Genomic DNA, 19,079 nt, shown 5'->3' on the forward strand with positions numbered 1-19,079 from the left:
AGTTGATAAAAATATAAAATTGAAAAACAATAGAGAAAAATCAATGAAATTAAAAGTTGATTCTTTGAGAAGTCAACAGAATTGTCACACTATTAGGTGGTTATGAGCAAGAAAAAAAGAAAGAATACTTTAATAAAATCAAAAGTGAAAAATGGGACATTACAACCAAATTAACACAAATAAATAGATTATAAGGAATAAAATTAAAATCTGTATGCCAATGAATTAGATAACTTAGATAAAATAGATTAATTCCTGGGAAGACTCAAGGTACAAAATTGACAATAAAAGAAGCAAAAAATCTGAATGGACCTATAGCAAGTATAGAAATTGAATTAGGAATTTAAAAACTACAAAGACCAGAATGAGATGGTTACACTGGTGAATCTGAATTCTACCAAATTAACAAAACAAAATGAAACTCTTCCAAAAAACTCTTCCAAAAAAATAGAAAAGGAAGAACACTTCAAAACTTATACTGTGAGGCCAGTATTATCCTGATACCAAAACCAGATAACGATATCACACACAAAAAAATAAAACTATAGACCAATATCACATAGATGCAAAATCCTCAACAAATTACTAGCAAACATATAATAACAATAGTCAAAGTGACCTTTGTTTTCTAAGACCAGAAACAAGGTAAGGATATCTCCTCTCAACACTTCTGTTCTATAGTGCACTACAGGCTCTAGCCAGGGCAACAGTCAAAAAAAGAAACAAAAAGGAACCCAAATTGGAAAGAAAGAAGTAAAACTATATTTACAGATGACGTGATCTTGTATATAGAAAATTCCAAGGAATTCACTAAAAAAGCTTATCACTAATAAGTAAGTCCATCAGAGTTGCAGGACACAAGATGATATACAAATATCAAATGAAGTTTTATACACAATCAATGAAAAATCTGAAAATGACATTAAGAACAAAATTCTACTTTCAATGCCATCCCAAAGAATAAAATACCTAGAAATAAAATTATTTAAGGCAGTGCAAAAGTTAGACTCTAAAAAAGTACAAAGCATCGCTGAGATAAAGTAGATCTAAATAAATAAAAGATTTCTCTTGTTAATGGATGAGAAGACTTAATATTGTTCTGATATTGTTATAATACTGTTTTAAAATGGCAATACTCTTCAAAGTGATCTGCAGATTCAATGCAATCGTTATCAAAATCAGAGCTGGCTTCTTTGCAGAAATTAGCAAGCTAATTCTGAAATTCATATGGAAATTTCAAAGACCGAGAATAGTTAAAACAATCTTGAAAAAAGATGAACAAAGTTGGAGGACTCACACTTCCCATTTACAAAACTTATAGCAAAGTTACAGTAATCAAGACTACATGGTACTAGTATAAGTACAGACATATAGATCATTGACATAGAATCAAGAGTTTAGGAATAATCTCTCACATTTACATTAAATTGATTTTTAACAAGCCTGCCAAAAATTTCAATGGGTAAAGAATGGTCTTTGCAACAAGTGGTGCTGGGACAAGTGATTATGCAGAACAACAACAAAATGAAGTCAAAACCCCTCTTTACATCATGTATAAAAATCAACTCAAAATTGATCATAGACCTAAATGTAACAGCTGAAACTATTAAACTCTTAGAAGACAATGTAGGCATAAATCTTCCTGACCTTTTGCAGAACAAAGCCTTCTTAGCTATAACAGCAAAATCATAAGTGACAAAAGAAAATGTAAGTAAAGTGGGTTTAATAAAAATTAAAACCTTCAAAGGATATCATCAAGAATGAAAAAAGAACACCCACAGAATGGTGAAAATATTTGCAAATTATATATCTGAAAATAATCTAGTATCCAAAATATATAAGAATTCTTATAACTCAACAACAAAAAGATAAATAGCCCAACTGAAAAATGGCAAAAGAACCTATGTAGATATTTCCCCAATGAATATATATAAATGGCTAAAAAGCACATGAAAAAATATTCAACATAATTAGTCATTGAAGAAATGCAAATCAAAACCACAAAAAAAGATCACTTCATATCCACTAAGGTGGCTAGAATTAAAAAAACAAACAAACAACAACAACAAAAAACAGAATACAGGGGTTGACAAGAACATTCAGAAACTGGAACCCTTGTATATTCCTTGTGGGAATGTAAAATGACTTGACTTCTGTGGAAAATAGTTGGGTAGGTCTTAAAGTTAAACATAGAATTATCATATATCCCGGCAATTCCACTCCTAGGCACGTACTCAAGAGAATTACATATATATGTCCACACAAAAACTTATACACAAATGTTCACTGCAGCATATTCATAATAGCTGAAAACATGGAAACAAACTGAGGGTCATTCATGACCCATCAATGAATGATCAGATAAACAAAATGTAATAAGTACATACTATGGTATTATTCAGTCAGAAAAAATGAATTAAGTCCTAATGCATGATATAGATTGAAAGAACCTTGAAAACTACGCTAAGTGAAAGAAACTTGTCACAAAAGACCACATATTGTCAACTCCTTTATGAGCAGTATCCAGAATAGGTAAAGCTACATAAGCTCAAAGTAGATTGATGGTTTTCTAGGGAGAAAGGTTTGGGGAAAAATGAGGAGTGACTGATAATGGCTATAGGGTTTCCTTTTTGGAGTGATAAATGTTCTAAAATTGATTACAGTGTTGGTTGCATAACTGTTAATATACTAAAAACTATTGAATTATATACCTTAAATGGGTGATTTTCGTGGTATGTGAATTTTATCTCTGTATAGCTATTATATAAATATATACACATATAAATATAATATATACATATAATACATATATAGAAAGAAGGAAAAAGAGAGGGAGTGAGATAGAATATTGAATTACATTTTAAAATATACTAAATCAGGAAGTATATAAAGTTAGATGAAATGATCAAATGAAGATACAAATACCAATTAAATTATATTTTGATAATTCAAGGATGCATGTTTGAATCTTGAATGTAACCATTGAAAGGAAAATAGTATACAATTTCTAGGATAATGTACAGGGAAAATGAAATAATTAAAATAATCAAGTAACAATAAGACAGAAATCTTTTTAAAAAAACATAAGACTGATGGAAAGCAAAGAATAAAGTACATATATATAAGCAAATAAATCTGAAATTACATTAATGTAAGCGAACTAAATTCTCTAATTATAAGACAGATTATCAGACTGAAAAGTCCCACTACATGATGCTTAAAAATGACAAAACTAAAATATGAAAATACTGGGAGGTGGAAAGTAAAACGATGGAAAAATTACCGTGCAATTATTTGTCACAAGAAATCTGATGTATCTGTATTAATATGGGACAGAGCACAGAACAAAACTACAATACAAAATATCCTTTACAGTGACAGTTTAATTCATCTATCACATACAGAAATTCTAAATTTGAATTTGTCTAATAATATGACCTCAAAATGTATGAAACAAATATGACAATACTACAAGGAGAAATAGACAAATATTCACTCCTGATAGAGTTTTATATACCACTCTCAGTAAGTGATAAAAAGAAGCAGACAAAAACTAAAATTTCAAAAAAAAATTGAAGCACATAATTAATAATCTTGATTTACCTGACATATGTAGATCACTACAACCAAATACTAGAGCATATATTTTATTCAAGTACTCATGAAACATAAAAATTGAACATCTGCTGAGATATAAAGTAAGTCTCAATTTCAAAATATTTAAATCATACATAGTATGTTCCAATCATATTGAAATTTAGCTCGAAATCAATATCAAAAAGGTAAGTTAAAAAACCTATGAGCTTAGAAACCATATTTAGAAATTTCTAAATAACCCATGGAGCAGAGAAGAAATCACAGTAGAAGTTAGAAACTATTTTAATTTAATTATAACTGACATACACTATAGCAACATTTGTTGGATAAACCTAAAACTTTGCTGAGAGAAAAACATATAGACCTAAATACATAGATTAGACAAAATAAGTAAATAAACAGCTCAGTAGTCAATAGTAAGCATGCATTTCAAGAATTTAGAAGAATAAGTTAATTAAAACCAGAGAAATTAGAAGAAAGAATGTAATAACTTTAAGAATAGAATTAGTGGAAAAAATATGATGGGCTCCACAAAGCCATCAATGGATCCTTTGAAAAATAAAGTTGTTAAACTTATTGTGATGAAATTCTAGAAAATAAAAGAAAGGTCACACACTCACCTCCTGCCCCCTCTCCCCCACCACATACAAACAACATCAGGAAGTTATGAGAGAATTCTAGATATTTTTCAGAAAATAAAAAGATAATATTATGAACAATTTTATATTAATAATTTGAGAATTTAGGTAAAGGGGAAAAATCTTGGGAAAAAAAGGAACATAAGAAGACAGAAAAATATGAGTAATCTTAAGTGGTAGACACAGAGATGTGCTGTTCAGATTTTGTTTCAAGGAAGGGCTTGTCTGCTGAGTGTGCAATGAATGAGCACCCATCAGCTCTTAGTCACTTCAGATATTGCTTCAATTGCAGAAAGCCACCTTACAACTCTGGAGAGCCATATTCAGTGACATATTAAGTAGAGATTATTTTTCTCCATTTTATTTCATTAAAAAATATTGAGGCAAAATTCACAAAACAGATTTGGCAATTTTTTTTTTTTTTTTTGAGACATGTTCTTGCTCTGCCACCCAGACTAGAGTGCAATGGCATGGCTGTAGCTTACTGTAACCTATAACTCCTGGGCTCACATGATCCTCCTGCTTCAGCCTCCTGAGTAGCAAGGTGTACAGGTGCACCAATTTTTTTATAATGTTGATTTTTGTAGAAAAAAATGTTTTGCTATGTTGCCCAGGCTGGCCTAGAACTCCTGGTCTCAAGCCATCCTCCAACTTTGACCTCCCAAAGTGTCAAGGTTCATCCACATTGTAGCATGGATCATTATTTCATTACTTCTGAAGAATATTTCACTGTGTATATACTACAATTTGTTTATCATTTAATCTATTGATAGACATTTGGGCTGTTTTACTTTTTGGCTATTGTAAACAGTGCTGCTACGAACGTGTGTGTATTTAAGCAGGTATTTGTTTAAATGCTTGTTTTGAATTATTGTGTATATGCCTATGGGTGGAATTACTGGGTCATGTGGTATTTCTTTGTTTAAACTTTTTGTGAATTGCCAAACTGTGTTCCACAGAAGCTGGGCCATTTTACATTCCTACCAAAAATATACAATGGTTCCAATCCTGCACATCATTGCCAACACTCATTTTCCAATTTTTTGATTCTAGCCGTTCTAGTGGGCATGAAATACTATTTCATTGTGGTTTTGATTCACATTTTCCTAATGACTGATGATGCTGAGTATCTTTTCCTGTGCTTCTTGGCTATTTGTATGTCTTTACTGGAGAAATGCCTATTCAAGCCCTTGCCCATTTTTTAAATTGGACTGTTTGTGATTTTTGTTGTTGAATTGTAAGAGTCCTTTATATCTTCTGGATAGTAGACCCTTATCAGATACATAATTTGCAAATATTTTTCCCCATTTCTATAGCTTAACTTTCCCCTTTCTTGATGATGTCCTTTGAAGAATAAAACTTTTTAATTTTGATGAAGTCCAAATTACCTACTTTTGTTGTTGTTTGTGTTTGGGATTTTTGCATAATACCTAAGAATCCATTGCCAAATTCAAGGTCATGAAGATTTATACCTGCCATGAATTAACCAGTCCTTGTTAAGTCCTGCTCTTAACAGGAGAGACATGATGATGCTTCAGGTCTCTGGATATTAATATCGGCTGAGACCTTGTGTCCATTAATCTTTGAAATGCTTGGATAATCCCCTTTTCTCAGAGTACAGACACCTGAGAAAGTCAACATAGATCTGAGTATTGGGGTCCCTGAAGATTTTATTTTCAGAAAGTGAAAGAACTGACAAGCATCTAAAACCTGACAATAACAACGTATTCTCGAGGATGTGGGGAAATAGAATTTCATACCTTCTGGCGAGAGTGTAAATTAGTAAAATTACATTGTTCAGCAGTTTGGCAATGTTTAGTAAAACTATATTTCTTTTAAGAACTTTGTGATTCAACCAAGAATTATTTGTATGCATGGGAATGAGATTGGGACACTGTTTATTTTTTCCATGTGCGGTTGTGGCAATAGGATATGTTTGAATACCTTGCTCTCCCTATTGAATTTTTATCTCCATTTTCAAAATTAATTGTGCATAGCTGGGTTTATTTCTGGACTCCCTATTCACTTCCACTGATCTATTAGCCTACATTTATGGCAATACCACACCATAGCATTATAGTACATCTTGAAATCAGGTAATATGAACCCTCCAACTTTGTTCTTATCATACAAGTTGTTTTATTCTTCTTGATCCTTTCATTTTCATGTACATTTTTAAATCAGCTTGTCTTTTTTTTTTTCAAGAGAGATTGCTGTGACTTTGAATTCTGTGGAATCTACACATCAATTTGAGGACAGCAGACAGCTTAACAATGTTGTGTCTTCCAAAGAACATAGTATCTATCTTCATTTATTCTGATCCTCTTTAATTGCTTTCAGCAGTATTTGTCATGGGTGAGGGTGAGATGCTGTTCTGTGCTATGTAGAATGTTTAGCAGCATATTTGACCACTAGATGCCCGTAGCACCTCCCCACCAAGTTGCCACAATCAAAGTGACTCCAGGCATTACAAAACATCTTCTGTGGGGCAAAATTACCCTTGATTAAGAACCCCTGAACTAGAGAAATAGAGAAAGTGTGGTATTAACAAAACGATAGCCATATTAATCAGTGGCAATGAAAATTATCAACTCTGTATGCAATAGCAAACAAAACAAGAACAATAACTAAAACAACCTTCTAAAGGCTGTGGAAAGTTTTAAAAAAAGAAAAAGGTCATAAAGATTTTAGAGAGAATAAACATTTGTTGCAGTGTCATTTCCCTGCTTTTGCTGTTTTTGCTGAAGTGCGGACTGCAGTTGAAGCACGACTCGAGGAAGGTGGAACCCCTGTGCAAAACTCAGCATTTTACTGTCTAGGTTACCAGAGGATGGACTAAGGGCACTCATGGCCATTGCAAAAGTAAAGGGGAGTCTCAGGAAAGAGAGAAACTGAGGATGGCAACCCCAACTCCTATGGACTGAATTGTGTCTTCCCCAACCCCCAGTTGGTATGTTGAAGCCCTAACCCTCAAAGTTCAATAAATCACACGTGTATGTATGGTTCAAAGCAGTGTTTAGATAAAGGTGGAAAAATCAGAACTGGGATGAAGTTGCCACCCATCAAAGAAAAGCTTTCCGACTTTGAAAAGTTCCTCACTCCTGTGGCCCTGCCCATCCTTCAGCAGGCTTCTGCAATGTAATTGGCAAAGATGGCAGAGAGGCGGAAATTGGCTGTCCCATCACAGCCTTCAGCCCTGCAGAGATGCAGAGCTCCTAAGGCTCCTCAAGGTAGGAAGCTCTCTCTGCTCTCCTGCTCTGCCCTTTGTCTTAGGTGGGCTGTTGCCTTGCACTTAGTGGGCGGTTTCACATACCTCAGAGGGCTCACTGGGTGCTGACAATCTCTGTGGCTGGATCTCTTCAATATTCTCTCTCATGCCAAGCCCATACACTGTTAGTAAAACTTTGTAAATTTGGGATGATTTCTCCTTTTCCTTATTACCATTACCCCCAGGGAATAAAAGCAGCCATGGGATTGTCTTCTTGAAATTATTCATCCCACTATTTAGCTTTTTTATTGTTTAGCTTTCTAATGGGTTAAAAAAAATGTTACAAAAGCTATTCTGCGTTGCTCTCAATCTTAGTTTGAGTGTGATCAGTTTAATAATTTTATATTTTCTAAAATAATAATTTTAAAGTTTATATTTTTCCTTAAAAAGGAATATTTCATGCTTCTTTCCTCTATAGGTACTAAAATTAAAGAGTATAGACATTTTATCTAGAAAACTTAGATGATTTTCATATTCATTATAAATAATTTTTAAGATAAGCATTTTTTGGAGGAAAGATAAATGAAAACAATATATAGAACTACTTTTCTTCAACATGCTTAAATATATTTGGTAGAAATGAACTCATCATATATCATATTTTCAAGACTTTAATAGTTTTTAATCATTTGAATAGAGAATACATCATTACAAAGCTGCCCAAGGAATTATCATTAAATGAAGATGGTAAGGCAGGAAGGAGGAAAATTATTCTTCCTCATTAAATGGGAAAGAATTTGGTCAGTGTAACTTTCAAGAGGGCATGACCCAGACAAGATTCTAGTACCACAGTCTTAGTTTTGCTTGCTTATTTTGAAGATATGTTCAGAAACCTAATGCTGAAATGTAAGGAAACTCCTAAACACATAATCTAGGAAGGTGGTTGCAGTTAATGGTTAGGCTATTACTAGACCAACAAGTACAGGGTCCCAGCCCAGGATTTGACTTTTTAACATAGAGAAGCAGGTGTGTGTATACACACACACACACACACACACACACACATATATATATGCACACACCCACACACACACCCCTGTCTTCATATATATAATATATATATTCCATACATATGATCTTGATATATATATTATATATATAAGTTCATACCTACTTTTGCTCACCATTGTATATCCAAGGCTTATCACATTGTATGTACAAGGTATAGAATCAGCTTTTCTTTGTAAAGAAATCTTTGTGATTTCTTTGAAATCACCCAGAATTGACACTGGCCTGAAGTTCTAATGTATTTCTACAGATCTGAAGAATAAAAACTGAGACAAATAAGAAGTTGAAAATACTTAGAACAATAAAGGGGCCTTAGTTCAGTCTATGTGTGTATACACATTAAGGCCTATTGAGTTTATGTAATTTGCTCAGAGTAACACAGTAAATAATGGCAGAGCTGAAATGAGAGCCTTCTTAGATACATAATTCTATGTTCTTTATCCCATAACTAGATAAGAACATCAGTTTTTGAAATTAGTCAGATCTGAATTCAAATTCTGCCTTTGCCACTTACTAGCTGGATAACTTTTAGCAAGTTACTGGTGATCCTCTAATCTCAGTTTTCTTATTTAGGAATTAGGGATAATAATAGAGTCTACTTCTTTGGATTAGTGTGAGAATTAAATAAGAAAATATTTAAAGATCCCAGTATAGTGCCATCATTTAGCACCTAAAAATCATCATAGTAGTAGTCATTGATGTTAATATTGTTAGGCACTCTCTTCACCCAGACATGAGCAATAAGCTTGCTTCTCTGTATAAAAGATAAAATAAGCTGATTAATTTCCCACAAATCAGTTAATCAGCAATCTCAAAACAAGATTATCACAGTGAAATTTGCTCCCTGTTTAGAGATTAAGGAAAGTTTTTTGATTGTTATCAAAATAATGGTTTCTTTCTTTAAGATATCAGAAGTTCTATTATCTTCAGTTCTAATTCATGTGGATCATGGTGCAAGATAAACAACATTTACCATGTTCTGGATTAAATAGGACATCAGTTGGATACATAGCCCACACATTTTAAGTGTATTTCTTTATTTTGTGTTAGGGATTCCTGAAGGAAAAAAATCCAGATGTTTGCAGAAGATTTTGAGAATATTTGGATACAAACTCAATGGCTCTTGAATAAAAATGAGAACCAGATTAAATTCATGAAGAGCACTGCTACATAAAATGTATTTTCTTTTCTTTTATAGATACTCACATAAGTCATGTATGTTTTTAAAGAACACCTATAGTTACATAATCTCCTGTGTGAATTTAGGGGTTAATTTAAAAGAAAGTGAGTTTAAATTTCGAGCTGACAATGTAGGAGGGATTAGGAGAAAAGTGATCATTGGAGCCAAAGGAATGAATGAAATTACCCCAGGAGAGCAAAGAGCCCAGCTAGATCCTAAGAGAAAGCCTAAATATGGGGACCAACAGAGACAAAAAAGCCATATAAGGAGAGCGCACAGGAAGACAAATAGAAGAGAGCTTCATCTTGGGGGCAAGAAAGATTTTCCAGAAGTAGATATCCTTCAATATCAAATACTGCAGTTCTAATGCCTACAGAATTTCATGTACCAGGTGCTTAGCAATAAGAAGGGAAGCTAGTTGACAGATTAGCCTTTTCACTGTATTTTTAGAAGAATACCATTTTTATCTAGATTGCATTGTGTTGAGTATAACTTGAGCCGGGTGGGGAGTGGTAGCAGAAATCATGGTGATAAAGACTAAAAGCCTCCAAGCCATATTTGATGCCAAAGCTATTCAATGGCAAGCTGGGTTGTATGAAAATAAGGACGGACCACAGTTGATTTTAACAAAATGGCTGTAAGTGACCTTTCCAATGAGAGGGGAGTTTGGGAATTATATATGGTGTTAAAATACAATGTTTTCTAGAAAGTTGTCAGGAAAGAAGAAGATGGAATGGTAGCATGGTGGGGGAAGAAAGAGAAGAAGAGAGAAGAGAGGGTGAGCAAAAATAATATGTGAAGTCAGAGAGGTTTACAAAGGGCAGAAATCCACATTAGCTGCCGTTGATTGTATCATGAAGTAGGAGGCAAAGTCAGCTGAGCATGCAAGCACCGAACTGCAGTTATGAATTTGCAATGAGTGTAAAATGTTCGGATTATCTGTTGTAAAGAATCAGCTAGGGAGTTAAGTAGGAGTGAATGAGAGGAATGATGAACTCATGGAAGGCCTGGCTGAGGTTGAGTAATAACTACGCATGGCATTGCACCAAATTAAGTGGTATAATTTTAACAAATGACCCAATAAGGTAGAGTCTATTTTTATGTGGAGCAATAAGACCTCACAATGGATCATTGAGTTGGAAGTTAATCTTTGAAAGCATATCTGAAGTTCCTTTCATAACGTTAAGTGCTGCCTCCAGACAGCATTTAAACAGGGATCGTTTACAGACCGATGAACAGAATTTTAGCATTCAATCTAAAAGCTATACTTTGTTTTCACAGAAAAAATAATATGGTTTTTTATTTCAATGAACTTCTAATGTACATAGAGATGTCCACATATAATATATATAAAGATAATATAGTATCTTTATCAATTAACTATTGCCGGATTCATATAAACAAGAATGTGGTTTAACTTCCCTAAACTGGAGAACTGGTAATGATTATTATCAAAATAAGGCCTTAAAAAGGCTAGTCTTTAAGGAATAAGCTTTCAAAATAATTTATTCATTCCAATTTGCATTTTCTTTCTTTTCTTTTCTTTTCTTTCTTTTCTTTCTTTCCTCTTTTTTTTTTTTTTCAGGGTCTCTTCCTGTCACCCAGTATGGAGTGCAGTGGCACGATCTCAGGTCATTGCAATCTCTGCCTACTGGGTTCAAGCAATCCTCTCACCTCAGACTCCCAAGTAGCTGGGACTACAGGCATGCTCCACCATGCCTAGCTAATTTTTGTATTTTTTGTAGAGACAGGGCTTTGCCATGTTGCCCAGCCTGGTCTCGAACTGCCCAGGCTCAAGCTATCCGCCTGCCTCGGCCTCTCAAAGCACTAGGATTACAAGTGTGAGCCATTGTGCCTGGCTCAATTTGCATTTTCTAATTGCCAGGTCTTATATAAGACCACTCTATGCCAGGTCTTATATAAGGCTCTGAAGATAGCAGGATGAGCGAGTTGGAATTGTTCAATTAGAATTGGAATTATTAGAATTTCAAAGATCTCACAATGTAGATGAGGAGACAAGTTGAAAAGACATAAAATGTGTGGGCACTATGATTAATGTGCCCTAGAAACCATGGAACACAACATGGTTGCATGGATCTAGAGAGACTAGGGAGCGCTGGCAGGGAGATGATGGTTTCTAACAAGCATCAGTCCAGGATCAGGCACTGGGCTAAACCAAGAGGAGAACGTGATGAATAAGGCACAGGTGGTCTCAGGCTGTTGAGCAGTACAGACACATAAACACATTTTCAGTACACTCTGTTAGGTCCAATAATGGCAATGGTGCTGGAGGTGTGGGAAGACAGCAAAGGCACTTGCAACATGGGGGCCTAAGCAGAAGAGGAAGAGGGTCACCAGCACACAGTAAAGCTTTCTTGCAGAAAGAAACAGCGAGCTCTAAAAGATTTAGGACTGAGCCAGGCATGGAATTGGTGGAAGAGTGGAGGAGAGCCTTTCAGGCAGAACACAGCTTAAAGGAAGAGAAGTGAAAAAGAACATGATATAAATTATTCCATTACAAAGATACATGCACACATATGTTCACTGCAGCACTATTCACAATAGCAAAGACATGGAATCAACCCAAATGCCCACCAACGATAGACAGGATAAAAAAAAATGTGGTACATATACATCATGGAATACTATTCATCCATAAAAAGGAATGAGATCATGTCCTTTGCAGGGACATGGATGAAGTTGGAGGTCATTATCCTCAGCAAACTAACACAGGAACAGAAAACCAAACACTGTGTATTCTCACTTATAAGTGGGAGCTGAACAATGAGAACGTATGGACACATGGGGTGGGGACAACACACACTGGGGCCTGTCGGGGTGAGGAGAGGGGAAGAAGAGCATTAGGAAAAATAGCCAATGCATGCTGGGCTTAGTACATAGATGGGTTGATAGGTGCAGCAAACCGCCAAGGCACACGTTTACCTGTGTAACAAACCTGCACATCCTACACATGTACCCCAGAACTAAAAATTAAAATTAAAAAAAAAACATGAAAAAACTAAATGTTTCTGGCACATAGATTTTCAAGTAGAGAGGAAAGTTGTGTCAGACAGGGCTTATGTCCACTTCATAGATAAGAAAGGTGAGGCTCACAGAAGTAAGGAAAAGTACACATTGCCACACAGATCAAAGCAGCAGGAACAAAATTCCAACCACATCTGTCAGAGTCACAGCCTCTGCTTTTTACATTTTTCAGACATAGTTTTTGCACATACATATCTATAATGGTTACATTATAACATAGGAAGAATATAGGCTAATTTTGATTTTATCTATTTTTGTTTAGAAGAAAAAAATTCCTCATAATCAAGATAATATAATGAAATAAAAACCAAATGACAAAATACAAGGAAATCACAATAAACAAAATATTTATGTGTGTATGAGAGAAATGATGCAAGTTTTATTAAAATAGCTCAACTTAGTTATCTTTTTGTCCATTTGTCAAAAATAACTATATCAAAATTACTACTATTAGGTAAGAGATAGTATAGTGATACGGTTTTCTGACAATATCAATTGGAAAAATAAAATAAGCCATTTGAAGTCATTCTGGTTGTCACATCTCTGCTTATATTGAAAACTGCCTCAATTTATGATTTGACTATTCGATCTCTTTAAAATGTTGAAGCTATGGATTTTTTTTCTGCCCTCTTTTGGCAGGCTCACAAATTCACAATCAACAACTTGCCATCAGCTGGTCTTCATTAGCAACTTTACCATGACCCATCCAATTCTGATGCTTAGAAACAGAAAGACCAGGGAATGCTTTTTTCCCCCCCATTAAAGTAGCTAACAAATTAAGCATGAAGAGAAATTATGGCAATGTGATAAAAATGGGAATAAGATAATTAAAATAAAATCATTTAATAGTGTATAACTTAGGTGAGAGGAGAATGAACTTCTAAAACATAACCCATTAAGCCACAGTAGAAGTGAAGAAAGCAACCAAATTCTGCAAATGCTATATAACCCTGGAACTCTCCTAGTGTGGCCAAGCAACAGATCCCTTGATTAAAAGTGATTTTTAGAGAGCACAGGGTTGGGGGTAAGGTCACAGATCAACAGAAACATGTGCTGTGTCCACTCAGGGTTAAATGGATTAAGGGCGGTGCAAGATGTGCTTTGTTAAACAGATGCTTGAAGGCAGCATGCTCGTTAAGAGTCATCACCACTCCCTAATCTCAAGTACCCAGGGACACAAACACTGCGGAAGGCCGCAGGGTCCTCTGCCTAGGAAAACCAGAGACCTTTGTTCACTTGTTTATCTGCTGACCTTCCCTCCGCTATTGTCCTATGACCCTGCCAAATCCCCCTCTGTGAGAAACACCCAAGAATGATCAATAAAATAAATAAATAAATAAATAAATAAATAAATAAATAAATAAATAAATTTAAAAAAGTGATTTTTATAAACCTCAGGAACTGGACACATAAGCAGAAAAGAAATTATATACTGATCCATCATACTAGATGAAAATATTCATAATCAAAAATGGATGATACAAATAAAAGAACATGTGAAGATGACTACTTGGGTATTTTCCATCAAGCAAAAGAAATTGTAAGTTAAGACTCTAGATTGCCTATGAGCAAAAGCATGAAGGTGGGTAGGCTAATTACTGACCAGAGTCTACTTAAAAGGCCTAGTCTTGGTTTCGTGGTTAGCACAGACACTAAAACTCTAGATAATACAGTTTATTTAGTTTCTTGTTTTCCTATTGTTTGTTTTCTATGGAACATTTCAGCTGAATAAAAAGAAAAAGTCAAGAAACCTTAGGCACAAGACATAAGACCCTTAACTCTAGCCTCATAGCATTTAACGCATCAAAAGGCCTATACCCTTATTGTGTGTGGGTTTCGGTGGTCAACATACCACACATTTTTAAGAATGTTTAGGGGATTTCTTTCCAAACCATGTTGCATGGAACAATAAATTTCAGAAAAGATAAAACTTTTCTAATAACACAATTGGAAAGGAAACCAGACTAAATTAATAGATATCACTTTTCTAGAAGGTCTTAAATTAAATTTCATTTCCTGACCCAGAGTTATATATGCATACAATTAATGGCTAATGAATGCTGAAAAATAGAGGTCCTTCCACACTGGCCTTAATATAAGGAAGATGATTATTTATGAACAAGTATTTTATATAAAATTTGGTGTGATCAAGATGCTGAAACAGATTTAAAATGTGTGATTAAACCTGCAGATTAAATTTGTGTGCGTTCAATAAGAATGCATGGTGCCACAAGAATAAATGATAGTTCTAAGTAAGTCTGAATTCATACACATTCTAAATTTGCATGTTTGGGAGCCATGAGGCTTTATTATACTGAACATGGGTATTTGTGCCTTCTAATTGCTGCAAAGAAGTATCTAGCTACGACATGAAATTATGTACCCTAAAAATTCTCGAGGGTGGAAGGCAGGGGAAACTTAACAGAATAAGATCTTTAAATGATACCTAAATTCAAAGGTTTGGAAAATAAATTTCTTGAAATGGTGAAAACTAACCGATTTACTCTTTATGTAGTATCCATCCAGTCATATGTTAAAAAAAAAAAAAAAAAAAAGGAATGAGGCTGGGTGTGGTGGCTCATGCCTGTAATACCAGCACTTTGGGAGGCCAAGGTGGGCGGATCACCTGAGGTCAGGAGTTCGAGACCAGCCTGGCCAACATAGTGAAACCCCATCTCTACTAAAAAAAATTAAAAAATTATCTGGGCGTGGTGGCGCATGCCTGTAATTCCAGCTACTCGGGAGGCTGTGGCAGGAGAATTGCTTGAACTCTGAAGGCAGAGGTTGTGGTGAGCCGAGATCACGCCACTGCACTCCAGCCTGAGAGACAGAGCAAGACTCTGTCTCAAAATAAATAAATAAATACATACATAAATAAATAAAAATAATTTTAAAAAGGAATGAATGAATCAATGAATAAGTGGAAAACAGAAATGTAATTTAGTATTGGTATATGTTCTACCCCCAAAGACTAACTAAACTATTGGTTACAATAAATGAAATCTAATTAAGAATACATTAAAATATATGGCTTTTGACTCTAGAGATACATCATGTAACAATTACCAAGAGTGAGTCATTACTGCATTCTGTAATCTGGTTGGGTTGGGAGAAGGGAGTCATTAGAATCTCTGTAGGCTTGCATGTCATTTGAAAAAGTCCTCCCTGATGATTCTTAGACACTAGTCACTCTGGATTTACATGCACTACTTTAAATGTAAACAATGATGATATGCTACAGCATATTGTTTCTTTGATTTCAAAATTAAGGCACGTGGCACCTTAATTTAATTCTAAGTATTCCATGTAGCTCACTACTCCTCTTTGCCTTTCACCGCTCTGGAAAACATCCTCAGTCTTTTCCGGTTTAGTACATTGTCCAAAGAGCCTACTGTGGAATCTCATGTCATTTTACTTTTTTCAGTTGGCCTATTTTTCATACCATTTCTCATTTCCTCCATATTTCTATTATTCCCTATGAAAACATACCTAGTCTTGTCCTTCTCTTTGCTTTTCAAGATTTAGCAATCTGAAAAAAGTTAATTACCCCAATTATAGGGTGTCACAGAGTACTAATGACTCAATAAACTCACCTCGCACACCCACTAAATAACTTTTCATGGTGAAATTTGAATATTCAGCTTCACATAAAAGTCAATGAGCCAAATGCATGCTGTAATAGTTTATGGAACTCACTGGGATAGGGAGCTACTGACCAGTGATTTATAGGTTCATGCATGTTCCTGGAGTTCAAAGTAAAAATTATCCTCTAAACTCACACCACCAACATGGAAGCCACCAGACACAGGAAGCTACTGAGCACTTGAAATGTGGGTCATCCAAATTGAGATGAGCTGCAAGTATAACCTACACAACAGATATTGAAGGTGTAGTATTTTAAAAAGAGCAAAATATCTAATTAATATGTTGTTTACATATAAAATAATATTTTAGATACATGATGTTACATAAAATATATATCTATATATTTGTGGTTTTTTTTTGAGGCAGAGTCTTGCACTGTTGCCCAGGCTGGCACGATTTCAGCTCACTGCAACCTCTGCCTCCCAGGTTCAAGTGATTCAGCCTCCCGAGTAGCTGGGATTACAGGCGGCTGCCACCACGCCCAGCTAATTTTTTGTATTTTTAGTAGAGACGGTCTTTCACTACGTTGGCCAGGCTGGTCTCGAATGCCTGACCTCATGATCCACCCGCCTCTGCCTCCCAAAGTGCTGGGATTACAGGCATGAGCTCCCATGCCCAGCCGAAATATATTATTAAAACTAACTTCATTTATTTTTTTTTTTTTACTTTTCAAATGTGTCAGCTAGAAAATTTAAAATGGCACATGTGACTCACATTATATTTCCATTGGAGAGCACATCCCTAGACCCTTGCAATTCAGGGCATGTTCCTCTGATGAGCAGCATCGCATCAGTAGGGGTTTGTGAGAAACGCAGAATCTTGGGCCTCACTCAAGAACTACTGAATCAGATAATAAGATGCCCAAGCTATTTGTATTCATATGACAGCTGAAGAAGATCTTTGTTGACTTTAGGAGTGTTTCAATGCAGACACTGCTCTCTTTTCTCTCCATATCTTTGCAATCATCATTCCTTAGCACCTACAATATGCCTTCATTTGAGGGCTTATTCAATATTTAATCTTTATTTCACTAAATAAACAGATATTCCTTTTCTTATTACTGTGACTGCTTTTTCCATATTGAAATGGCAATGGCTGCAAATACTCTCTGTGTGAAAGTTGGTTCCATTAAGAGCTAATCAATTTATATGATTCATACACTAAAAACAACAGGAGACTATGGTCAGGTGAAAGATATGTGGATTTCATGTTATTATATTTCCCTTCTTGAAATAGAAAGGAAAATTTGGGATTAAAATAATTTCATGAGCAAGTCTAACAGTGCTGTGAGGATCTAATTGTCAGCCAGCTCTCTTTGGGAGCAGAGTATACGAAGGTTATTGTTAAACAGTGCCAGCAGACAGGTTGCTGCTTTTGTCTCCTTTGCAATTTGCAATTTGGGAATGGAGGGAAACCGGGCAATATCCCTTTCTGTTTTTGGTTGTTCTTATTGTTATCAATAGTTCTCATTTTGGTCCACAACTCTGCCACTACTTACAGAGGAATTTAGATTGAGTTTGTTCTGAAAGCAAAGTATCATACTAATGAATCACTAAAAAGAAAGCTGGTCTAATTATAGCCAAATGGTGCAAAATAACCTTACTTATGATTGCCCCTGATTAGGTGTAGGCTGCTGGGCTCGCTGCAGGGGGCTGTAGATTATCACTGAAATGCAAGGTGCCCACTGACTGCCAAGAGGGGAAGAACTTGCAGCAAAAAAAAATATTGCAGCTGTACTCTATTATTTTGTTGTAAAGTCATGTCCCAGTTTCCTATACCCAATAGCTTGAACTTGGCATTGTTTCAATTCCTGCTTATTGGTGAACTGATCTCATGTTCGATAAATAAATATTAATCAACTGATAATTAAGTATTCACCCTTAGGCCACTGTAATATTATAGTCAGACTGTTTGCATTGGAGGAATGAAGATTTGTTTAAGGTACTACCAATAAAGGACGATTTGCTTTAAATCCAAGCAAAATCCCATGGAACTCTCACGGCAAAGCCACAGTAGTGTGGGTCTCAGGGATCTGGGGATTTGTTCTAGATCCAAAATGACTCTAGAGAACTAGGCTGTGAGAGATCTTCATTCTGGTGACCTGCGGTTGCTTCCCAGCTACTCAAAGTGGGAATGCTTCTTTCTCTTTCACTCACAGTTGCCTTCCTCTGTTGACTTCTAGTTTCTTCCCTCCCTACTCCTTTCACAGTATCCCCCAATCACAGTCCTGCTTCATGATCTTTCAGAGGCAGACTTCACTGCTTTTTGGCAATTCTTTCTTTGTTTCCTGGCTCAGATTCCTAGAGGAAACCTGATTAGTCAAAGTCATCTTTTCAAGTCAGTCCACCTTGGTAACAAGTCACATCTCAGACCCAGTGACTATGCATTGGGACCATTGGTAGAGACATTTTTCTAATAAATGGTGGAGTAGGGCTCAAACTCATAACTGACATATCTCATATGCATACTCATTTATTGACAGCATCCTCTGTGTAGGCACTATTCTAGTAAATAAGATAAATATGACTCCTAAACTTTTCGGTAATAATGAGTGGCAGGCAGAGAATTACTGTAGATGGATAGGAAGGAGAGTGACTGGCAGGTTGGCTAGATGGGGTGAGCAGAGTAAGGATTCCCAGAGCAAGTGACATTTAAACAGGCACCTGAATGAAAAGAAGGAGCTAATCATAGGAAGATC

The 19,079-nt window shown here is 35.4% G+C and overlaps 1 annotated feature.

The window, feature by feature from the left end:
- Positions 13,589-14,141: an enhancer, noted in NCBI's record as "OCT4-NANOG hESC enhancer chr18:25056355-25056907 (GRCh37/hg19 assembly coordinates)". NCBI's record gives its function as "activates a minimal SCP1, AML or CMV promoter by ChIP-STARR-seq in naive H9 embryonic stem cells {active_cell/tissue: H9 hESC(naive)}" and the evidence as "EXISTENCE:reporter gene assay evidence [ECO:0000049][PMID:30033119]".

This window comes from Homo sapiens, chromosome 18 (assembly GCF_000001405.40).
Source record: "Homo sapiens chromosome 18, GRCh38.p14 Primary Assembly".
NCBI lineage: Eukaryota > Metazoa > Chordata > Mammalia > Primates > Hominidae > Homo > Homo sapiens.